Consider the following 26,040-nt stretch of genomic DNA (forward strand, 5'->3'; position numbering starts at 1 on the left):
TTAGATCAGTATATGAAATAGTATATATTATTATATTGTATTATTTATTAGGTAAATCTCAATGGAATAAAAAAATTCATTCAAACTCATTTTCCCAAAAAGGCTATTTTTAGATTTATAGTATTTGTTTTAGTGATAACTTCTGTTCAGTTCTCTCTAGCATTTCCAGAAATCTATGCTTGTTTCATGGCCTCCAGTAAAGGCTTCTGTTGATGAGGGGGTTTTGATCCCATGTCTGTCCAAAAAAGACAATTGGCTTTTCTTGGTAGGGAAGGATTCATTTAAGTGGAATCTTCCAAGCAACTGTCTCTACCATCTTCCATATTCTTGCTCCACTCTTACTGTTTTGTTTGCCTGTCGTGGAGTCCTAATTAGGGAAAAAGTCTCAGGCTGGTGGGAACAGGGGAAAGCCAAAAGAAAAAGCAGATAAGCTAAGTCTGCCTTTCTTCCTGGTCCAGGACATGTAGCCCTCCTGCACAAATAACTCACAATCTTCCTGCATTCAACTTACCACCAGACCCTACAAGTTAGCACACTGCATTCTTGGCATTATCAGTACTGCACAAAGCTCTCTTCAGCACACAGCACAAGCACCATCCTATAAAATCCCCAGCAAGCCTTTGTCTCCTTGCAGTCAGCTCCACTCTTGCTGACTTGCCCATGGCACGCTCGCAACGTATTTTCATACTTTCTGCTTTCTCTAATAAATCTGCTTTTCTTTACTTACTAATGTCTTGGTAAATTATTCTAACTGCCTGCGCAATACAGGCCCCAGATAGTCGCTACCCGAGACACCTATCCCATCCCATTTATGAAAGTGAGGCAGCAAGCCAATAAACACTTCATGGATTCGTAGCAATCACAGTCTCTTGAGAGCAGGATGTCCACCTGACCTCTTTTGGTGTGAACAATTCAGCTTTGTGTGTATTGGTCCTAGTCAGGGCGGGCTGTGTAAGGACACTGTTTTGAGATCAGCATGCCCTGTGCCTGTGTAGGCTTGTTGTCAACATGTGAGTGCTTCAAAGAGAATAGAGTACAGCTTCCCTCCTGACTTGTTCTCTTGCTTTCATAGAGATTTAAGGGCCTCCCCTATTTTCTTTTTCTTTTCTTTTCTTTTTTTTTTTGATATCCAGATACAGTTTATTTTCATGAGAAAGAACTTTTTTTAAAAAAACAAATGTGAATTCATTGTAAAACATTAGGGAAACGCAGCCAAGAGGGAAAAAAAGAACAGTATCTATAATTTACCATTTTGAGATGACTACTGTTAATACTTTTGGGAGTTTTCTTTTTAGGCATAAATATATACTTTATTTTTTTTTTAATAAAGAAGATTTATTACTTTTTGGCTTTTTGGCTAAGACCAAGTGTAAATAAAAAAGCTTTAACCTTAGCGTGTGAGACAAATATGTATACAATAAATTTCACCATAATATGGTAGAAGCAGTAATACAGATATGCACAGGAAGCTCTCAGAATACAGAAGACAGACATTTAGTTCAACCAGAGGTAACCAGTGAAGGCTTCCTGGAGATGGTTACACAAGAGATTAATTTGAAAGAATAGGTAGAAGTTAGCTAAGTACGGACAAGAGAATAAGCATTCCAGGTATGAGACATTTTACTATGAAACAGTATGTTGAGCACAGATAATTACAACTAATGAGGTATTTCTAGAATATTGAGCATAAGTTGGGATAGAGATAAAGGCAGTCAGCATGACATGGGGGAACCTTGTGTATCATATTATATATCCCATATGCTATAGAGAGGCATTAAAAGATCTTAAGCAGTAGAGTAATAATTTAGATAGATGGTATAGATCACTTTGGCAGCAGAAAGAAGGATTAATGGTGGAAAATCCTGGAGACAAGATTACAAGAAAACATCTAAGGAGGTAAAGAGAGAGGAGAACAGGGACTAAGGAATATAAGGGACATATAGAGGGCGGTGTACCTGCAAAGAAGAGGAAGAAGAATTGCTAGAGATGGAGGAAATATCTAAGAGAGTATGGTGTCATAGGCATCAAGACAAGAGAGTATTTCAACAACAACAACAACAAAATGGTCAAGTAGGGAAGGACTGGGATGTTTCACTTAGATTTGTATGTAGATCACTTAAGATTTTATAAAAGATATTTCAGTGGAGTGGGGATAGAAGTCAGATTGCAGTTGGTTCAGGAGTAAATAGTACTTAGGCAAATTCAAACAGCTTGCATAGCTTAAAAAATTGGGCTTTGAAGGTGAGGAAAGAGACAGCAATAATTTGAGGGGGACATAGGTTTGAGAAATGTTTTTTTTCTGGCGAGGTAGCCATTTCTTTTTTTTAACTTTTAAGTTCAGGGGTACATGTGCAGGATGTGCAGGTTTGCTACATAGGTAAATGTGTGTCAAGGGGGTTTATTGTACACGTTATTTCATTAGTCAGGTATTAAGCCTAGTACCCATTAATTATTTTTCGTGATCCTTTCTGTCCTCCCACCCTCCATCCCCAGAAAGGCCCCAGTGTGAATTGTTCCGCTCTATGTGTCCGTGGGCCTCACCTATTTTCTCTTTTTTTGGAGACAGAGTCTCTCTCTCTTGTCTAGACTGGTGTGCTGTGGCGTGATCTCGGTTCACTGCAACTTCTGCCTCCTGGGTTCAAGCAATTCTCATGCCTCAGCCTCTGGAGTAGCTGGGACTACAGGCACATGCCACGACAACCAGCTAATTTTTATATGTTTCTGTAGAGATGGGGTTTTACCATGTTGGTGAGGCTGGTCTCGAGCTCCTGACCTCAAGTGACCCGCCCTCCTAGGCCTCCCAAACTGCTGGGATTACAGGTGTGTGCCACCGTGCCTGGCCTGGGCCTCACTTATTTTCAGTGAGGGGTTGGGTGGCTGCACCTGCTGTCATTTTTACCTAAAGCAAGAAGCAGAAGTACTGCCTGGGACAAAGCTAGAATCCAGTGCTCAGGAAGTTTCCTAGGATAAAATGTTATTGAGAATCTTATAAATAGCTATTCCCTGGGGAGAGTAATGATTAATGCCAGTTAAAAGTGAAGAAGGTACTTCTCTTCCTGCTGTTTTGTGCAATGTACACAAAACTGAGTAAAACAAATTATTGTAGGTTGTTGAAATAGCATCATGAAAAATTAAACAGTTGGAAGACAACTATTGTGGCATATATAGGGGCTTTTACAAGAAACTAAACTAAGGATGTTCTTTAAAATGTGGAACTGGAGTCTACTTAGGGTTTAGTCTGGTTTGTGACCATGCCCTTCAGCCAGTGCAGACATTTGATCTCAGGACAGGTGCCCCTGCTGCAGAAGACCGCCAGCACCCTGACTCCAACAGCTCTGATGCATCTCACTGCCAAGGCCTGGATGGAAAAAAATTCAGCAGAAGTTACACTTATGACGGCAGAAAGTTCAGCAGAAGTTGTACTTATTTAGGATCAGATAGAGGGCTGGGGTAGCTTCAATAGCCAGACAAGGACCAATCTACTCAAGAACAACAGTGATGAGAAGACAGATTTTATGGACTGGGTGTGGAAGGAAAGGGGCTGTGGCTGTAAGAGTAAATTATGTGGCTGCAGGTGAGACCATTTGTTTGTTTCATAGTGAGGATCAAAATAGCAGTTACAGATCCCTTCTTTCTGTGCTATGCTGTGGAAGCTAAGATGGCTCTATGTGTTTTTGTATAGCTGGTGTGCCAAAGTTAGCCTCTATTTGGGGCAAATCTGTAGAAGAGAAGTAAAGCAAAAGAGATTCTATAGTATAATACAAAAGTCTAGGTGCAGAAAAACTAAGTTCAGATGTTGGTTGTGCCACTTACTAGATGTGTAACCTTAAATAATTTACTTTCTCCGAACATCACCAGTTTCATATCTGAGAGATAGGCATAATACCTACCTCACAGTATTGTTTCAAGGATTAAAGAAAATACAAAATGCCAAACCCTCCACATTGTACTTCATATATTCTAAAGGCTCAGTAAAGACTAATTTACTATTCTGTATGTGATTCTATGTAGTATGAATAATCCTTTCCCATATCTTATTGATCAGATATGCCATCCATTAGCCATACAACTATTTTATAATTATGTGCTCTTTGTTAGTAGGGGTTTGCATCATCAGTGCGAATGAATTGCTTATGGAAAAGCAATTGTGAACTCATGCCCCATGGATAATGAATGGAGAGAAGTTAGGGGATATTTATTGAGCCCTTATTGTGTACTTTTGTGCACATTAGTTTTCTTTTTTTTTTTTTTTTTTTTTTGAGATGGAGTCTTGCTCTATCACCCAGGCTGGAGTGCAGTGGCATGATCTCGGCTCACTGCAAGCTCCGCCTCTCGGGTTCACGCCATTCTCCTGCCTCAGCCTCCCGAGTAGCTGGGACTACAGGTGCCTGCCACCACACCTGGCTAATTTTTTTGTATTTTTAGTAGAGACGGGGTTTCACCACGTTAGCCAGGATGGTCTCGATCTCCTGACCTCGTGATCCGCCCACCTCGGCCTCCCAAAGTGCTGGGATTACAGGTGTGAGCCACCATGCCTTGCCACATTAGTTAATTATTACAACAACTTAATGAGATAGATACTATTACAATTTTTTTAAATCATGAAGAAACTGAGGATCAGAGATTAAGTTGCCCAAGGTAATGTTGATCAGCGGTCCCCAACCTTTTTGGCACCGGGGTGGGTTTTGTGGAAGACAGTTTTTTCAGTGACCAGGGTTAGGGGAGCAGGAGATGGTTGCAGGATGAAACTTGCACTTTAGATCCTCAGGCGTTGGATTCTTTTTTTTTTTTTTGAGATGGAGTTTTGCTCTTGTCACCCAAGCTGGAGTGCAATGGCATGATCTTGGCTCACTGCAACCTCCGCCTCCCGGGTACAAGCAATTCTCCTGCCTCAGCCTCATGAGTAGCTGGGATTACAGGCGTCTGCCACCATGCCTGGCTAATTTTTGTATTTTTAGTAAAGACGGGGTTTCACCATGTTGGCCAGGCAGGTCTTGAACTCCTGACCTCAAGTTATCCACCTGCTTTGGCCTCCCAAAGTGCTGGGATTATAGGTGTGAGCCACCGAGCCTGGCCTGGATTCTTAAAAGGAGCACACAACCTAGATCCCTCGCATGTGCAGTTCACAATAGGGTTCACACTCTTATGAGAATCTAATGCTGCCACTGATCTGACAGGAGGTGGAGCCCAGGCAGTAATGCTTGCTCTCCAGCCACTCATCTGCTGCGCAGTCCAGTTCCTAACAGGCCATGGACCTGTACCAGTCTGCGACCCAGAGGTTGGGGACCCCAATGTAGATAATAAATGGTGTGGTTGAAATAGTTTTGTTTGAAAGTAGGATTTATCTTTTTTTTTACTTTCTAATGTCGCATTTACTTATAAATAAGAGAACTGTTGAGGGACAGACTATAACCACTTTGCTGAAACTATGAAAAAAGCAAGACATAGATTTTGTTTATATTTAATTCTTAAAACAATGGGTGATTCTTGCATCTTTCTTGCAGGTTCATTGGGTAGCAGTCTCTGAGAAGGAGGTGCAGGAAGTTCAATGGGGAGTGGTCTTGGGAAGGGAAGAAGGCAGAGCAGGATAAGACAGAGGCACCAGTTCGGTTGCAATATAGTCACAACAGGGTCCCTATGAGCACCACACAGGGAGCTCTGAAACTAGAATAGTCCTTCAGAGTAGGCCTGAGTGGGATGAGAGCTTGGGCTTTTATACAGTTGAGAGTTGAGATCAGTCAGCTGACAATCTTCCCAGCAGCTTGGAAAATCAGTCATTTGGTCTTAAAAGGGGTATTTGGGAAGTGCCACCCAGTATTCATGACATGTTCTATAATATGTAACTCATAAAAAGGAGAGAAGTGACATTTAATGTAGGAATATAGATTTATTTTTAGTGTTCTCTTTTTGAAGCAGTTATAAAATAAATAGAAATTTAATTTTTGGTATTTTCCTTTCAAATGTTAACAATTCTTTTTGCAACTTCTGGGTTAGGTTGACATCGTACTTTGGTCTGGACTGTAAGACCGTTAGTGAAAATCTGTCAATAAATCTCACCCCATGCAGTGTAAAAGTACCTTTTCTCTCTTCATTCAAATGAGAATCGTTTAGATGTCCTGTCATTCTAGATGGGTTTTGAAGACAAAAGTAGCATCTTTCTTTTTCATCAGATTTTAGGGCTAGAGAAAGAATTTATCCAAGGGATATTTTCTCTTCTTTTTTGTTTTTTTTTGTTTTTGTTTTTGAGACGGAGTTTTGCTCGTCACCCAGGCTGGAGTGTAGTGGTGCAATCTCGGCTCACTGCAACCTCCGCCTCCTGGGTTCAAGGGATTCTCCTGTCTCAGCCTCCCGAGTAACTGGGATTACAGGCATCCGCCACCACACCCGGCTAGTTTTTGTATTTTCAGTAGAGACGGGGTTTCACCATCTTGGCCAGGCTGGTCTTGAACTCCTGACCTCGTGATCCACCAGCCTCAGCCTCCCAAAGTGCTGGGATTACAGGTGTGAGCCACTGCGCCCAGCCCCAAGGGATATTTTCTTATGAATACTTTTAAAGAAGACATTGATTTGTCTCAGTTCACTTAGATGTCATGTTATATATATTCTAAAAGTATTTTAAAAATTCATCTGACTTTTTTTTTTCTAAAGAGGAAATCTCGGCAGAAAAACAGTACTTATTTTTGTTACTTTCTTATTGATTCCTAATGATTTCCCCAGAGGTGGTCATGCATGTGGAGGGCCATCCTCCTCCACACCCACTAGCTTCTTACTTTACTGACAGATATGATACAATCATCTTTGATGTGTCTCAATTCTATTCCTCCACATTTCAGGATTTATCTACTTTTAAAATAATGGCCCTTCCTTTTCCCTTACCATTTGACGAGTATTTGTTGAGTGCATACCATGTGTTAGGTATTCTTCAAGGTGCATGGAATATGCCAGTGAACAAAACACACAGAAGTACCTGTCCTCATTGAGCTTACAGTCTTAACTTTTCCAGATTCTGTTTCTGTTCTTAAGGCATCTTCTAACATTTCTTTTGGGAAATACCTCTTGAATTTTTTTTTTTTTTTTTTTTTTTGAGATGGAGTCTCACCCTGTCACCCAGGCTGGAGTGCAGTGGCGTGATCTCAGCTCACTGCAAGCTCCGCCTCCCAGGTTCATGCCATTCTCCTGCCTCAGCCTCCCCAGTAGCTGGGACTACAGGCACCCACCACCATGCCCGGCTAATTTTTTTTAGTAGAGACAGGGTTTCACCATGTCAGTCAGGATGGTCTCGATCCCCTGACCTCATGATCCACCCGCCTTGGCCTCCCAAAGTGCTGGGATTACAGGCATGAGCCACTGCGCCCAGCCAGAAATACCTCTTGAATTTTTAAGCTTTCTAACTGCTTTCTAGAAAACACTCATATCCTCTTATTTTATATAATTTTCTCCTTATCAGGCTACCCTAAAACTACCATACTCATATTTTTTTCCTCTATTGTTTTAAAGTAGTCTGCACTTACTCTCAGCTTCCTTAGTTCTCTATTATTCCTTAACCTCTTGTGATCCAATGTCTTTCATTAGAAGTTTGCAAAACTGTCCCGTGGAAAATATACTTTAAAAAAATCCATTTTTTTTGCCTCCACTGCTACACTGTCAATATCTCTCTCTTGGACCATTGCAATAGCCTTTTTCCAAACTGGCCTCTTTGTCAATAATTAGTCATCAAATCTACCTTATAAGCTGCTGTCAAAATACTCCTGGTATCAGGAGGTCAAGACTACCCCTAGTTTTAATGACTCATGAGGAGAATTCACAGGCCTCAGCATATATTAGGACTCATGGCTGGGATTTATTATGGAGAAAGAATCTAAAAGAAAGTCAACTAAGGGAAAAGGTGCGTGGGGCAAAATCCTGGGGAAATTAGGCACAAACTTCCAGAATTGTTTCCCAGTGAAGGCACACAAGACACACTTAATTCCCTCAGCAAGGGATTGTGACAACACATAGGAAATGTTGCCAACCAGGAAAACTTGTTAGAGACTCATTGGCCAGGGTTCTTATTGGGTGCTGGTCTTGTGGGCACCCTCTGCTTGGCATGTTACCAAATTCCAGGCTCCCAGAAGGAAAGCAGGTGTTCAGGGTAAGCCATATCGTTTATATAAACATTTTAGGCATAATGAACCAGGCTTTTAAATTATGGAATGATAGGAACCTTCCCCAAATCCAAGTTCCCAGATGCCAGCCAAGGGCCAACTTTGCAAGCAGGCTTTTCTAAGGACAGCAATTTAGGCCTGCTATGTTAACTATTTTCTGTACACTCTTCCTAAAGTGTAGCTCTAATCTAACTTCCTTCTTTCCTTCTGGAAATTCCAGAGATATTTATTGGAAATCTGCAATGTATCAGCCACTATTTTAGATACTGGGGCTACAGTGATAAACAAAATAGATAAAATCCTGTCATGTTTTGATCTATAAGAGAAGATAGACTATAAAGAGATAAATGAAAAATGAATAGTAAATGTCAGATGGTAGTCAAGATTATGAAATAAAGCAGTTTAAGGGGAAAAGAACAAGGGATGGGGTAGGCACTATTTTAGATAAGGTCATCAGGGAGGCTTGTCTGAAAAGGTGAGATTTTATCATAGACTTAAGGGAATGTCTAGGCAGAAGGAATAGCAAGTGAAAAGCCCAGAGGTGAAATGAGCTGGATATGATGTTCCAGAAACAGCAAGAAGGACAGCGTAGCTGGAGTGCAGTGTGGAAGGTAGAGCATGGAAGGAGATGAATTTGGTAAAATAGGCAACAAACAGATTATGTTGGCTCTTTTAGGAAGCCACGATAAGGAGTTTGGATTTTATTCTAAGTATAATGTAAAATTCTCAAAGCATTTTGAACAGGAAGGGACATGACCTAATTTATATTTTTAATTGATTATATTAGTTGCTGTGTCAAAAACGAACTGTAAGAGAACAAGAATGGAAGCACAGAGACAAATCAAATGCTTTTCTAGAAGTCTTAAGACATCATGGAGGCTTGGACTAGGGTGAGAGCAGTGAAGAGGCGAGGATATTATGACACTTTAGTGCTTAAAAACTTAAATCACTCAGTTGGCTACAGTATGTAGTTCAGATACCTTCAAGGCATTTTTTGAAACCAAGTTTCAGTCTTGCACTTATTCCCACTAAAAATTTCTCAAAATTCTGCCTTTTTCAGTGCATATTTAAATCAACCTAAATCTCTGTCCATTACTTAGATATTCTAGACTTTCTTACCTCCATGATTCATTATATACTCAATTCTCTTTGTGAAAAATCACAATCTCCTTTAGCCATTTTTTCCATCCAAATGTTACCTGTTCTTCAAAACCACCTTTTCATGAACCTTTCCCTATTCTCTACTTTGAAATTAATTTTTCTTCTGTTATCCCATATATTTCACTTATCTATTACTGCCTAAAACCCTAACCCAGACTTACTGGTTTAGAATATCAATTTTACCTTGCTTGTGATTTTGTGGGTTAGAAATACATGAAGGACTCGGGTGCGTGACTCATCAGCTGAAGTAGCTGGGACTAGAGGATCAATTTTCAAGAAGGCTTATTCACTCACAAGTTTGGCACCTCAGTGCTTCTTGGCCTTTCTCCACCTCTGCATGGTACCTCATCCTTCTGAGCTTTGGCTTTTCTCAGCATGACAACTTCTTAAAGCCATCAGGAGACCAAGATGGAAGCTGCCATTCCTCTTAAAGGCCAGGTCTGGAACTGACATACCAATACTTCCATGGTACTGTATTGGTCACTGAAATCACAGGCCAGCTCAGATTCAAGAGTGGAAAGAAAGTCTCTGCTCATTGCCAAGAGCATGGCATGGACATACAGGGAGAGAAGAAATTAATGGCAGCCACCTTGGGGACAGCTACCAAAGCATACTCCCTTACTCACATTTCCATTTTCAAGGTGTTGGTTGGTATTAAATGTATTTTCACAGATGTCTCATCTTCCTTATTAAATTGTAAATTCTTTGAGGGAGAGAATGGTGGCTGGTTCATTTTTGCATCCCTAGTGTCACATTACAGATTTTCTTTTTCTTTCTTTTTTTTAAAATTTAACTTTTAAGTTTGGGGGTACATATGCAGGATGTGCATGTTTGTTACATAGGTAAACATGTGTCATGGGGGTTGGTTGTACAGATTATTTCATCACCCAGGTATTAAGCCTGGAACGTACTAGTTATAGTTCCTCCTTCTCTCCCTCCCACCCTCCACCCTCCAATAGGCCCCAGTGTATACTGCTACCCTCTGTGTAAGTCTGTGTGTTCTCATCATTTAGCTCCCACCTAGAATTCGTGGTATTTGGTTTTCTGTTCCTGCATTAGTTTGCTAAGGATAATGGCCCCCAGCTCTATTCATGTCCCTGCAAAGGACTTGATCTCATTCTTTTTGTGGCTGCATAGTATTCCATGGTGTGTATGTACATTTTCTTTATCCCGTCTGTCATTGATGGACATTCTGGTTGATTCCACATCTTTGCTGTTGACATCACAGATTTTCAATGCCCTTTTTTTTTAAATAGAATTTATGTGGCAATATTCTTAGAAAATATATACAGAAATAAAAACTAACTCAGTTGAACACATAATTATTGCATATGTACTAAGTTCAATGGGTTTATTAATTGTGAGGATTGAACATTTTGCTTTTTTTAACTTTTATTTTAAGTTCAGGGCTATAAGTGGAGATTTGTTACATAAGTAAACTTGTGTCATGGGGGTTTGTTGTGCAGATTATTTCATCACCCATTATTAAGCCTAGTATCCATTAGTTATTTTTCCTGATTCTCTTCCTCCTCCCACTCTCCACTCTCCAAAAGACCTTAGTGTGGTGGGCTGTTCCTTTTTATGTGTCGATGTGTTCTCATCCTTTAGCTCCTGCTTGTCAATAACAACATGAGGTGTTTGGTTTTGTGTTCCTGTGTAAGTTTGCTAAGGATAATGGCCTTCATCTCTATCCATGTCTTTGCAAAGGACATGATCTTGTTCTTTTTTATGGCTGCATAGTGTTCTGTGGTGTATATGTGCCACATTTTCTTTATCCAGTCTATCACTGACGCGCATTTAGGTTGATTCTGTGGCTTTGCTATTGTGAATAGTGCAGCAATGAACATATGCGTGCATGTGTCTTGTTATATTTGAATAGTTTTACAGTTTATAAATGAATTAAAGCCATTATACATTTACTGGGCAAAGTTCTGTGATGGGTGCTGTGGGGAATACAAAGGTGAATGACACCATCTTCAATACAACATTATTTAATTCACATATCAAAACAACTGTCTGAAGTGGTGGAGAAAATTTGCCAGTCTCATGTTATACATGAGAAATGGTCAAGGAAACTTTTATCAGATCTGGTGCTACAATTTAGTCTCTTTGTTTCCAGGGCAGTGATATTCCGTACACCATGCTAAAGGTCCATGCTAATGCTAATGCTAATGCTTAGTTTATGTTAAGGCCCTTCATAATATGTCCTTAAACTTACCCTTCCTTTTATGTCTCAATAGTCTTCAAGTACTGAATATTGTTATTTTCTAAACAGGCTCAAAACATTCTCATAATTTTGCTGATGAAGGCTGTAAGACTCAGCAAATCTGCAATTTCATTTTCTCCTGCCTGCTTTATTCTAGCCACACTGGCAGCTGGTTAGATGGGATGGTGCCCATTCAGATTGAGGGTGGGTCTGCCTTTCCCAGTCCTCTGACTCAAATGTCAGTCTCCTTTGGCAGCACCCTTAAAGACACACCCAAGAACAATACTTTGCATCCTTCAATCCAACCAAGTTGACACATAGTATTGACCATCACAATATTTAATAATAAAATACTAACATTAATTGAGCTCCTACCTTGCAGCAATAGTGTATGAGGCACTGGAGATATAAAGGTTCGTGGGAAATATTCCTTACCCTCAGGAGGTTCTCAGACTATCAGTGGAGACAGTGTCTTCTAGATTGTGCCTTCTCCTTCCCAATCTCCCTGTTTCCATCTCTTATTAAAATCTTAGTCATTTTTCAGAGCTCAGCAAAAATATCACCTCTTCTATAAAGTCATTTGTGTTTCCTCTAGTCATCTGATCACTTTTATATGGCAGTTACATTGTTCATAGTTTGTTGTTATGTGGTTGTCCTCAACTTGCTTTGTCTCCTACTCTGCTGACATTTGGGAAGACGCAACATTTGAGTTCAGTCTATAGCACCTTGTACAGGGTAGGCAACCCCATGTTTTTGAACATTGGATTCATTGTAACAGTCACTTCTAGGTTGCCTGAAATAAACACATTTTTTTTTTTGTGGTCCACACTTCCTATACATGCTTTTGACATTTTTTCTCAGGCCATGGCCTTTGCTGGAGGCTTTGTTGGCCATGGTTATAGCATGTGACTCCTCCCTCACTACAGTTGACTGGATAGGAATGTGCACATAATCCAAGGCTGGTGAACTCAATTGCTGACCCACAGCTTATCATTTTATCATATTTTCTAATCAGTTTGCATTAATATGAGGAGGTTTCAGTTTATGGTGGGTGTTTGCCCTATAATTTAATATATTTTTGTGTCAGGCAACCGTATTGGTCTGTGTGCAAGAAGAGGAAGCTGCTCAAGAGAACAAATAGAGAAGATGAGATTCATCATATAAACTTCGAGAGAATGACTAGACCTAGTTGCCTGAGTCAAGTGCCTATAAGACAACTTTTTCTTTCTCTGTGAGATTGCCTCTCTGATTATTAAGTAAATTCTCCCTCACTTGAACTATATTGAGTGTTCTTTTGCAACCCCAAATGCTTTGAATAAAACATTGCCACATTCAGTCTTCTCAGTCTACATTTTCCTCAGTCTCTCACCATATTCTTAAACTTCTGCCGAGAGCTGCTTTCTTGAAATGTTTCCTTGGACTTTTGTGGTACTGAATTATTTCAATTCTTTTCTTACCTATCAGTTCCATCTATACTTTCCTTTTGTAACCATTCTTTTTTTTTTTTTTTTTGAGACAGAGTCTCACATTGTCACCTGGGCTGGGGTACAATGGCATGATCTTGGCTCACTGCAACTTCCGCCTCCTGGGTTCAAGTGATTCTCCTGCCTCAGTCTCCTGAGTAGCTGGGACTACAGGCATGCACCACCATGGCCCAGCTAATTTTTGTATTTTTAGTAGAGATGGGGTTTCACCATGTTGGCCAGGATGGTGTCTCCATCTCTTGAACTCGTGATCCGCCCGCCTCAGCCTCCCAAAGTGTTGGAATTATAGGCGTGAGCCACCGCGCCTGGACTTTTCTTTTTTTAGAGACAGAGTCTTGCTCTGTTTCCCAGGCTGGAGTGCAGTGGCATGTTATTGGCTCACTGTTGCCTCTGCCTCCTGGGTTCAAGCCATTCTCCTGCCTCAGCCTCCTGGGTAGCTGGACCACAGGCGCGTGCCACCATGCCCAGCTAATTTTTGTATTTTTTTTTTGCAGAGGTGAGGTGTCACCATGTTGGCCAGGCTGGTCTCAAACTCCTGACCTCAAGTGATCCACTCCAGCTTTGGCCTTCCAAAATGCTGGGATTACAGGCATGAGCCATTGTGCCTGGCCTTTGCCTTCATTTTCTTTGTCCATGCTTTTTCTCTCATGACCCTTGTCTAATTCCCATGGCGTCGGCTGTCAAGGCTATGAATGTGACTAATATACTGCACACACATGCACATGCGCACACACACACACACGCACGCACACACACACACACACACACACCGATTTCCTTCAGTTTTAGCTTCTCTCCTAATTTCTGCTCTTTACTTATTGGCATCTGAAACTTAACAGCTCAAAACAGAATTCCTCATCTTTCCCTCCAGATGAGTTTGTAGATTTGGGATGATGTTTGAAGTACTTCTTCACTCTTAATCCTATGAATCTGAGTTCTTGTGACTTTATTTCCTGTTAATGGTGTAATTTTTCTCTTAGTAATCTAGCTAGACATATGAATGCCCTTTTAGGTATTTTAGTGTCAAGCTGGACTTTCAGGATATATTGTGATTAATATATATTATTAATAATATATATTAATTAATAATATATTAATAATTAATAATACACTTCAGGACATATTGTGATTAATAATGATTAATAGACCCTTTCTATTAAGAATAGGTTAATAATAGACCCTACTTGAACCTCACATTTCTAGATCTATTCTAGATCTGGCTGTGGGATGGGAGGCTGTTTTCATCTCATCTGTAATCCACTTTAGATATCTAGGATACAGGAAAAAAGTGCCTTCAGTGTTCCAGGAGTGAGTTAATCTCATTGACCTATTATAGTGTCCCCTGCACAGTTTTCCATGGCTGAGAGCAGCATGTGATGTCGGTGTTAAATAACTTACTTCACAATGTACAACACAGTAGTTAGTTGTACTGTAATAGGGTGCTTCTCTTACATGATACTTTCTTGAAATTCAACTCCTGAACTGATTCATTAGCATTTGCAACAGAACCGGAGAGTCTAAGAAGATCTACCGAAAGTAGGATTGGCTCTGAGACAAAAGTGGCCCCATAAGTTGTTGAAAAAGTAACCGATCTGACAGACTTGAGAACTTCCAGATTCTTACTTCAGCCAAGAAAGACAGCGGTCATTTTCTAGCTGGGATGGAGCAGCTGTCCGTCAGTGGATTTCTGTCGAATATATGTTATAGGCAGATAACCAAGTGTTAAGGCAAGATCAGAAAGATCTTGAGAATGCAGCCCCTGCCCTTGCACAAGAACCTTTCATACTGCTGAGAATTCAATACAAGTCCTAATCTAACCACATGAAAGTAGCTGTTTTCTGTAGATTCATATTGCTTGAAGTCTGATCCTAAATATGTTTAATTACAAAACCCAAAATATTTTTCTTAGCTGCAATTGAAAGCAGCCTATTAGCAATGAACTTTGTAAGGTAGTGAAAGTTGGATTATCTAGGGCTCCTTTTACTGAAAATCTTTACTGATGAGTACTGTTTATAAACCACAGTGACAATTTATGTTGATAATTTGTAAAAGATTCTGAACTTTCTTCATCGTTAAAAATATAAACTTATTTTTAGTATGTGGTTGGGGGTTTTATTGTATGTACAATGTAAAACATTGGTAGTTCATATATTCATTTTTAAGTGGCAATAATAACCAGCCTCCTATCATGATCATTCTGAAGAAACAGTAGTTTGCCATATTGTGAATTCTGCATATTGGAGTCCTGGGGAGTTGTGCTTTGTTTCCTCAGTAAGCCACTTCAATTAACAGAAGATCTTTGAAATTCATTTCAGGTGTGTTTCCCTAAATTTTTATTTTTTTCAAATGAGAATGTACACAAGTTACTAACTTTTAGCAATTATAAAAAAGACTACTATTTATTGAGCACCTGCCCAATACCCACCACAGTGCAAAGTACTTTACATACATTCTCTTTAATTGTCCTCTTTTGAACTGGCAGGATCTTTAGTCCTAAGTAGTGTATTAGAAAGAAGATGAGCTTTGGAAGCAGACAGAGCTGGATTTGCCACTACCTAGATATGTGACCTTGTGCTTTTCTTCTCTCTGAAGAGGTTTATAATAAAGATTTATATATATTCATTTTATTCTCATGTGTATTACTATGAAGTGGGACAAAATTGGTAAGCATTCAGTGAGTGTTCACACCATCCATGATCATTTCCTGCTAATGGTTTATAATTGAAGGTGGTTTATAATCGAAGGTAAGTTTTAAAGTTTGGAGCCCACTCACAACTCATTTCTCAGCTTATTCTCAAATCTGATCCTCCAAACTACAGTAAAAATCTACTGGTGGGATTAGACCGCTGGAGTTTGCTGCAGCATATTGTATTTAAATAGGGTCCTTGCATATAGGGTTTTTTGGTTTATTTGCTTGCTAACTTTTGCCTTAACATCTGCTTTAGAGATCTGCTGGGACAGTGTTCTGAGGATGGGGGCAGTCATTACCCAGAGGTAGTTTAGGAAGTTACAGCAGCGACCACTGCTTTTTGGAAAATTACCCATTAATTTATTAAGGAATTAAAAAGAAATCAATTAGATTTTTCTTTATTATACTTGAAGAAACTCTCATGCCCTTAAATTATCTTACATTCTCGGCTGGGCACGGTGGCTCACACCTGTAATCCCAGCATTTTGGGAGGCCGAGGCGGGTGGATCACAAGGTCAGGAGTTCGAGATCAGCCTGGCCAATATGGTGAAACTCTGTCTCTACTAAAAATACAAAAATTGGCCAGGTGTGGTTGCACATGCCTGTAATCCCAGCTACTTGGGAGGCTGAGGAAGGAGAATCGCTTGAACCAAGGAGATGGAGTTTGCAGTGAGCTGAGATCGCGCCACTGTACTCCAGCCTGGGCGACAGAGTGAGACTTTGTCTCAAAAAAAAAAAAAATTATTTTACATTCTCTTCAATTCTTTCTTTTTGGGGGAGGGGTTATTTAAAGAGCAATGCATGTTAAGTATAGAACATTTGGAAACTACAGAACAGAGAGAGAGAGAGGAAGGAAGAAAAGAAAAGAAGAGGAAGAACAATGAAAAAGGAAAAGAAAATTAAAATCACCTACTATTCGAAGACTCTTGACTAACCAGAGCACAATTTATTTTCTGGATTTCCCTGATTTCATTAAGTATTATAGCCCATCATATAGATAGTTGTACTGTGATTTATTGAATCAACCTTCATTGCTTACTTAGGTTGTTTCTATTTTTCTTTTGATATAAATGAAACATTTTTGTATATAAATCTTTGAATAAATGTCTAATTTTTTTGGAAAGACTCCTAGAAAGAGAATTATTGGGTCAAAATGAGTCGACTTTTAAGAAAGCTCTGGAAACAAATTGTGCAAAGGCTTTCTGAAAAGAATGAAACAAGTTATGTTTCTGCTAGTAGCATATGAGAGTTATTTTTCTCCAGATGCTTTCTTTTTCAACAATAGATCATTCATTTGCCCCGTTTTTTGTTTGTTTGTTTTTGGTTTTTTTTGTTTTTGAGACGGAGTCTTGCTCTGTTGCCCAGGCTGGAGTGCAGTAGCGTAATCTCGGCTCACTGCAACCTCCGCCTCCTGGGTTCAAGCCATTCTTCTGCCTCAGCCTCCTGAGTAGCTGGGATTATAGGCATGTGCCACCAAGCCCAGCTAATTTTTGTGTTTTTAGTAAGAGACGGGGTTTCACTATGTTGTCCAGGCTGGTCTTGAACTCCTGACCTCAAGTGATCCACCATCTCAGCCTCCCAAATTGCTGGGATTACAGGCGTGAGCCATCACACCTGGCTGGTGCTGTTTAACTTATTTACATGTGTCATTTTCCTCAACAAGAAAATTATAAAGTGAAACTGCTAGTGTACACAATAGAGCAGAGCATCACAGCGCTACTAACCAACTTTTTAGGATTACGAAGAATAGATGAAGCACCTGAAGGCATTTTTAAGGTCTCTATTTCAAAAAGAAAGGAAGTAAAATATATGTATTCCATGAAATTATGAATCTGTTTGCCTAATGTTTTTTTCAAGAGCCTGGGAGAGAATGGGATTTAGTATTCAGTAAATATTGTACCATTTCTTATAACAATATACAAAATTTACATTTTGTGGTCTATTCTGTGGTGATAATGGTGGCATATTACATAGAGAAAATGATAATGTTAACATTTTATGGATTTGGGAAGACATTTGCTTACTCAACCTACATAAATTTTATAGGTTTATAAATCTGTGAAAATACGCTGTTTGATCAATTGTGCATTCTGTTAGTGAATTTACAACTGGTTGTCTTATATTGCAAAGCAGAGTCACACCTGACGGTGTTAACTGGAACAGAAGTGATCTAGGGAACCTGGAAGTTGGAACTAGACATGTCCTTGAGTGAGGGAGGCTGGAGATGGGTTGGGACCAAGGCATAACTATAGACACTGGGGGAAAGATTATTTCAGGAAGATACTTTATGGTATCCAGAGAGCTGACATAATGGTTTTATCAGAACAAAGGCCCAGGCACAGAAGGAAATGAGCAAGGGACCCAGTTACCACATCTAGAGGATCAGCTGGGACTTGATTTCAGGAAAACAAGACAGAAGCCTGTTGTTAGAACTTTGCCAAAGAGTCAGTTTTCAGAATTGAACTAATAGCAAGGTTGACTTGATATCTAGTGCTCTACATTGAGCTAAAGTTCCCTTCTCGTGAGGATGCTGTTGGTCCAAAGCCTGAGATAAGATTGAACATCCAGGAAAGCTTAAGTGGCTTCCACTGTGGGGAGACAAGGGATAGGGGTAGGAGGGTATTGGAACCAGACAGACCATGGTAGTATCACCCAAAGGTGACTATTAATGTTTTAGAAGTAAGAGGGATACATGATGACCCAGAGGAGCCAGTCCTAGATTCAGTGCTATTTAACACTTCCATTTAATGGATAGATTAGAGAACAAGCCATTAGTTACTCAAATGGCATCAAGTAAAAATAGTTACTTGCATATTAGTAAATAAGATTTCAGCATAATCTTAAAAAACTGGATAACTGATTAAAACCCAAGAGTAGCTTAACAAGGACAAAAGCACAACAGTACCTAAATAGAAAAAAAAAATGCTGCAAGTAAATTATTTTTCCTAAAATTATAGATCAAAAAATGGAAGACCTTTATTTTCTGGTTGACCTTTTCTGGAAAACTCATGAGGTATTGATGGAATTTTTAAACTGTGACATTAGTAACTTTACTCTTCCCAGTTTTAAAGTTTTCTGAAATTTACTTGATTTTCTAGAGTCCAGTTATGCTTAGAAAAAGAATAAAATATTATCAGACCTCTCTTGGTGCTACTTGATATATACTTTTCAGAAGAAGTATTGTATATATTTTTTGGGTACAAGTCAAGAAAAGTGGATGCCATGAAATTATGAAAAGTATAATCTGATTTTTCTAGTGTGCTGGATGGGAAAAGGTCACTAAGCACTACTATTCACTGCTTCTGCTGGTGTTTTAATAAAAACTTTTCTAAGAAATCGAGTGTTGAGGATATAAAATCAATTGAGTCCAAGAGGGACTTATTGAATATAGAATAAAGAAAAATACAGATTAAGGGACATTAGAATGAGTCATCTCACATAAAAAATGGGATATCAGTACAGCAGAACATTTTGTTAGAATGATTTTTATGTGTTGCATTAATAATTTACATTCAATTTCATTTAAAACTGGTTAGAATATTTGAAAAATATCTACTGAAGTTGGCAGCTTTCTTTTTAGATAAAGATAAAATGAAGAGGCAGGTGATAAAGGAGCATTTATAGCCTAAGATGTGGGTTTAGGGGAACTCTGACATTAAAGAAAATGTTAAAATGTTTGATATGTCTGCACTTTACAAGAGAGTTTCTGCTAGTGAGCTCTTTCTCTTGGAGATTATTCAACCCAAGGAACACTTGATCTTGCAGTGCAGCTCAGCCTGGGCCATTTATATGCCTACCCATGGTTATCTGGTTATCTGACCTCTTGGAACAAGAATCCTCTCCTTTCTAATTTTCCTACCACCAAGAATGGCTGAGCAAGTGTTTAACCCTGCCTCAATGACTCCTTTATGTACTCAAATGCCATCATTCTGATGGCTTAACTTTTTCTTCCACAAAAAGAAACAAAGCCCAATTCTTTAACTTTCATCACTATCATATTTAATGATCATGCATTCACAGAGTATTGTGTTATAAGTGAATGCCTGGTCATTTTGCCAGATGGTATCATTTAAGAAAAGAAGTATTTTGATTTTTCTAAGATCAGTTTGCATGAACAACTTGACATGTTCACAAATTAAAAAGAATGATTTCTTAATTTCCTCAAAATCGTTCAATAAAACAGATTCATTAAATAGTTCATAAGAAGAAAGTTTATTTCCTTAAAAACAACCTTTTAGGCCAGACACGGTGGCTCATGCCTGTAATCCCAGAACTTTGTAGGCTGATGGGGGAGGATAGCTTGAGCCCAGGAGTTCAAGGCTACAGTGAGCTATGATGGTACCACTGCACTCCAGCCTAGGGGACAGAGCAAGATCCTGTCTTTTAAAACAAACAGACAAAATGATTCCTAATGATATTAGTGTTTTAAATTCTATTTAACTTTTAATATCTATTTAAATTTTAATGTCCCCAATCCTAGACCTTTCATCAGGCCCTTTCACAAAGCAGTCTTTCTCCTGAGGCCCCAGCCAGCTCTTTTGGAACAAGAATTCTGTCCTTTCTAATTTTTCTACCACCAAGAGTGCTTGAGCAAGTGCTTAACCCTGCCTCAGTGACTCCTTTGTGTACTCAATAGCACTACATTGATCTGTTGATCATTTATCACTCCCGGGTTGGTGCCTGGCTTCCATTTCCCTGGTCCTAAACATTTACATCTGAAGAAGAAAAATCAGTTATAGAACTAATATTCTCTGTACGCAAGAAAACTTTTTTACATTGTTATACCAAGCAGTTTAGTCCCTTGTTGTTCCAGTTTCTTCACTCCAAAATAACATTTGCATCAACATTTGCTTATCAAACGATCTGTTTTTGGCTGGGCGTGGTGGCTCACGCCTGTAATCCCAGCACTTTGGGAGGACAAGGCAGGCAGATCACCTGAGGTCGGGAGTTCGAGACCAGCCTAACCAACAAGGAGAAACCCTGTCTCTACTAAAAATACAAAATTAGCTGGGCGTGGTGGTGCATGCTTGTAATTCCAGCTACTTGGGAGGCTGAGGCAGGAGGATTGCTTGAACCCAGGAGGCGGAGGTTGCGGTGAGCCAAGATGGTGCCATTGCACTCCACCCTGGGCAACAAGAGCAAAACTCGGTCTCAAAAAAAAAAAAAAATGTTTTTGAGCATGTCTGTGCCTGTGTATGTCTCCCCTATCCTGAAGATTTCTAGTTCCCCTTAAGTTATGCAGAGAAAGCTTAGAAAGGGCAGCTGCAGTTGCAAGGCATCAGATGAGTTTCTTAGTACTTAATCTAGAATACTTGAGTATTCTTTCTATTCATTCTCTTATTCCCAGTATGCACTCATCTGCATTTTCTAGGCACTCAGTGGGAGGGGTGATGGACAATCTTGATGGGGAGTGGGGACCAGAAGATGATCACCCTTCTTCTCCTGGCAGACACCGTGGCTGAAGACATTCTCCCATTAGATTATATTAACTGTTAGTCAATTAACTTAGACTTTATTTATTTTTAAATATTTATTTATTTATTTGCATTTTCACATAGACTCTTAAAACCATAATGGGTAATAGCAGAAAGTTGTCTTTCTGGGCTCTTTGATCTGCAGCTTGAGAGTGTTAGAAATAACCTAAAGTGTTCAGATTAGAGAAGGATGGAGACTTATTTGCTCATTTAACTTAGGAAAATGATTTAGGCTTGGAGCAAGAACTTCCTTTTCTATGAATTTCTGGATGTGGCATATCTTTATATTTTTAGAGAAGGGAGCAAACTCAGTCCTGAGTCTGATGACATCCTTATTTTCTGTTTCCTCCGTGTTGTGATCCTGTGCTCCCAAATCCCCCAAATCTTTCTGTAGCTTTTGCTTAGATCACATGAATAAATATAGTTTAAAAGTGTACTGTATATTCTCTAAGAATTGTCAAGCACTTAGTATCATTACTGTTTATTTGTATGTTTTGGTTATAATAATTCTGTTCATTTTAACCAAATATTTATACCAGCATGCTAAACATACATTGTATTTTGCTGTCAATAATTTTCTACCCAACTATTATTTTCTCTATAAAATACTTTTTAAACTCCTACTTTATTTTTTCTATTTTATTTCTATTAACACATTCATACTTGTGCAATACATTTTAGATGAGTTCAATTGTTAAACAAAGATGGCAGAATGATACCTAGTGCTATGGCTCATGCCTGAAATTCCAGCACTTTGGGAGGCTGAGGAAGGTGGATCTCTCGAGGTCTGGAGTTCGAGACCAGCCTGGCCAACATGGTGAAACCTCATCTCTACTAAAAATACAAAAATTAGCTGGGCATGGTGGTGCATGCCTGTAATCCCAGCTACTCGGGAGGCTGAGGCAGGAGGATCACTTGAACCTGGATGACAGAGGTTGCAGTGAGCTGAGATTGCACTACTGCTCTTCAGCCTGGGTGAGGGAGTGAGACGCTGTCTCAAAAAAAAAAAAAGAAAGCGGGGGAGGAGCCAAGATGGCCGAATAGGAACAGCTCCGGTCTACAGCTCCCAGCGTGAGCGATGTAGAAGACCAGTGATTTCTGCATTTCCATCTGAGGTACCGGGTTCATCTCACTAGGGAGTGCCAGACAGTGGGCGCAGGTCAGTGGGTGCACGCACCATGCACGAGCCAAAGCAGGGCAAGCCATTGCCTCACTCAGGAAGTGCAAGGGGTCAGGGAGTTCCCTTTCCTAGTCAAAGAAAGTGGTGACAGACAGCACCTGGAAAATCGGGTCACTCCCACTGGAATACTGCACTTTTCCGACAGGCTTAAAAAACGGCGCACCAGGAGATTATATCCTGCACCTGGCTCGGAGGGTCCTACCCCCACGGAGTCTCGCTGATTGCTAGCACAGCAGTCTGAGATCAAACTGCAAGGCGGCAGCGAGGCTGGGGGAGGGGCGCCTGCCATTGCCCAGGCTTGCTTAGGTAAACAAAGCAGCTGGGAAGCTTGAACTGGGTGGAGGCCACCACAGCTCAAGGAGGCCTGCCTGCCTCTGTAGGCTCCACCTGTGGGGGCAGGGCACAGACAAACAAAAAGACAGCAGTAACCTCTGCAGACTTAAATGTCCCTGTCTGACAGCTTTGAAGAGAGCAGTGGTTCTCCCAGCACGCAGCTGGAGATCTGAGAACGGGCAGACTGCCCCCTCAAGTGGGTCCCTGACCCCTGACCCCTGAGCAGCCTAACTGGGAGGCACCCCCCGGCAGGAGCAGACTGACACCTCACACGGCCGGGTACTCCAACAGACCTGCAGCCGAGGGTCCTGTCTGTTAGAAGGAAAACTAACAAACAGAAAGGACATCCACACCAAAAACCCATCTGTACATCACCATCATTAAAGACCAAAAGTAGATAAAACCACAAAGATGGGGAAAAAACAGAGCAGAAAAACTGGAAACTCTAAAAAGCGGAGCGCCTCTCCTCCTCCAAAGGAACGCAGTTCCTCACCAGCAACAGAACAAAGCTGGACGGAGAATGACTTTGACGAGCTGAGAGAAGAAGGCTTCAGACGATCAAATTACTCTGAGCTACGGGAGGACATTCAAACCAAAGGCAAAGAAGTTGAAAACTTTGAAAAAAATTTAGAAGAATGTATAACTAGAATAACCAATACAGAGAAGTGCTTAAAGGAGCTGATGGAGCTGAAAACCAAGGCTCGAGAACTACATGAAGAATGCAGAAGCCTCTGGAGCTGATGCGATCAACTGGAAGAAAGAGTATCAGTGATGGAAGATGAAATGAATGAAATGAAGCAAGAAGGGAAGTTTAGAGAAAAAAGAATAAAAAGAAATGAGCAAAGCCTCCAAGAAATATGGGACTATGTGAAAAGACCAAATCTACGTCTGATTGGTGTACCCAAAAGTGACGGGGAGAATGGAACCAAGTTGGAAAACACTCCTCAGGATATTATCCAGGAGAACTTCCCCAATCTAGCAAGGCAGGCCAACATTCAGATTCAGGAAATACAGAGAACGCCACAAAGATACTTCTTCAAAAGAGCAACACCAAGACACATAATTGTCAGATTCACCAAAGTTGAAATGAAGGAAAAAATGTGAAGGGCAGCCAGAGAGAAAGGTCGGGTTACCCTCAAAGGGAAGCCCATCAGACTAACAGCGGATCTCTCGGCAGAAACTCTACAAGCCAGAAGAGAGTGGGGGCCAATATTCAACATTCTTAAAGAAAAGAATTTTCAACCCAGAATTTCATATCCAGCCAAACTAAGCTTCATAAGTGAAGGAGAAATAAAATCCTTTACAGACAAGCAAATGCTGAGAGATTTTGTCACCATCAGGCCTGCCCTAAAAGAGCTCCTGAAGGAAGCACTAAACATGGAAAGGAACAACCAATACCAGCCACTGCAAAATCATGCCAAAATGTAAAGACCATCGAGACTAGGAAGAAACTGCATCAACTAATGAGCAAAATCACCAGCTAACATCATAATGACAGGATCAGATTCACACATAACAATATTAACTTTAAAATGTAAATGGCTAAATGCTCCAATTAAAAGACACAGACTGGCAAATTGGATAAAGAGTCAAGACCCATCAGTGTGCTGTATTCAGGAAACCCATCTCACGGGCAGAGACACACATAGGCTCAAAATAAAAGGAGGGAGGAAGATCTACCAAGCAAATGGAAAACAAAAAAAGGCAGGGGTTGCAATCCTAGTCTCTGATAAAACAGGCTTTAAGCCAAAAAAGATCAAAACAGACAAAGAAGGCCATTACTTAATGGTAAAGGGATCAATTCAACAAGAAGAGCTAACTATCCTAAATATATATGCACCCAATACAGGAGCACCCAGATTCATAAAGCAAGTCCTGAGTGACCTACAAAGAGACTTAGACTCCCACACATTAATAATGGGGGACTTTAACACCCCACTGTCAACATTAGACAGATCAACGAGACAGAAAGTCAACAAGGATACCCAGGAATTGAACTCAGCTCTGCACCAAGCAGACCTAATAGACATCTACAGAACTCTCCACCCCAAATCAACAGAATATACATTTTTTTCAGCACCACACCACACCTATTCCAAAATTGACCACATAGTTGGAAGTAAAGCTCTCCTCAGCAAATGTAAAAGAACAGAAATTACAACAAACTATCTCTCAGACCATAGTGCAATCAAACTAGAACTCAGGATTAAGAATCTCACTCAAAGCCGCTCAACTACATGGAAACTGAACAACCTGCTCCGGAATGACTACTGGGTACATAACGAAATGAAGGCAGAAATAAAGATGTTCTTTGAAACCAACAAGAGCAAAGACACAACATACCAGAATCTCTGGGACGCATTCAAAGCAGTGTGTAGAGGGAAATTTATAGCACTAAATGCCCACAAGAGAAAGCAGGAAAGATCCAAAATTGACACCCTAACATCACAATTAAAAGAACTAGAAAAGCAGGGGCAAACACATTCAAAAGCTAGCAGAAGGCAAGAAATAGCTAAAATCAGAGCAGAACTGAAGGAAATAGAGACACAAAAAACCCTTCAAAAAATTAATGAATCCAGGAGCTGGTTTTTTGAAAGGATCAACAAAATTGATAGACCGCTAGCAAGACTAATAAAGAAAAAAAGAAGAATCAAATAGATGCAATAAAAAATGATAAAGGAGATATCACCACTGCTCCCACAGAAATGCAAACTACCATCGGAGAATACTACAAACACCTCTACGCAAATAAACTAGAAAATCTAGAAGAAATGGATAAATTCCTCGACACATACACTCTCCCAAGACTAAACCAGGAAGAAGTTGAATCTCTGAATAGACCAATAACAGGAGCTGAAATTGTGTCAATAATCAATAGCTTACCAACGAAAAAGAGTCCAGGACCAGATGGATTCACAGCCAAATTCTATCAGAGGTACAAGGAGGAACTGGTACCATTCCTTCTGAAACTATTCCAATCAATAGAAAAAGAGGGAATCCTCCCTAACTCATTTTATGAGGCCAGCATCATCCTGATACCAAAGCCAGGCAGAGACACAACCAAAAAAGAGAATTTTAGACCAATATCCTTGATGAACATTGATGCAAAAATCCTCAATAAAATACTGGCAAACCGAATCCAGCAGCACATCAAAAAGCTTATCCACCATGATCAAGTGGGCTTCATCCCTGGGATGCAAGGCTGGTTCAATATATGCAAATCAATAAATGTAATCCAGCATATAAGCAGAACCAAAGCCAAAAACCACATGATTATCTCAACAGATGCAGAAAAGGCCTTTGACAAAATTCAACAACCCTTCATGCTAAAAACTCTCAATAAATTAGGTATTGATGGGACGTATTTCA

The 26,040-nt window shown here is 40.0% G+C and overlaps 1 protein-coding gene across 8 annotated transcripts in view, besides 1 other annotated feature; it reads left to right on the forward strand.

Moving 5' to 3' along the window:
• TMEM117 (transmembrane protein 117) overlaps positions 1-26,040 on the forward strand; it is a 603,307-nt gene that overhangs the window by 88,505 nt on the left and 488,762 nt on the right. The gene's annotated exons all lie outside the window — the stretch shown is intronic.
• Positions 15,100-15,828: an enhancer, noted in NCBI's record as "NANOG hESC enhancer chr12:44293209-44293937 (GRCh37/hg19 assembly coordinates)". NCBI's record gives its function as "activates a minimal SCP1, AML or CMV promoter by ChIP-STARR-seq in naive H9 embryonic stem cells {active_cell/tissue: H9 hESC(naive)}" and the evidence as "EXISTENCE:reporter gene assay evidence [ECO:0000049][PMID:30033119]".

The sequence above is a fragment of the Homo sapiens genome, chromosome 12, assembly GCF_000001405.40.
Source record: "Homo sapiens chromosome 12, GRCh38.p14 Primary Assembly".
NCBI classification, from domain to species: Eukaryota; Metazoa; Chordata; class Mammalia; order Primates; family Hominidae; genus Homo; species Homo sapiens.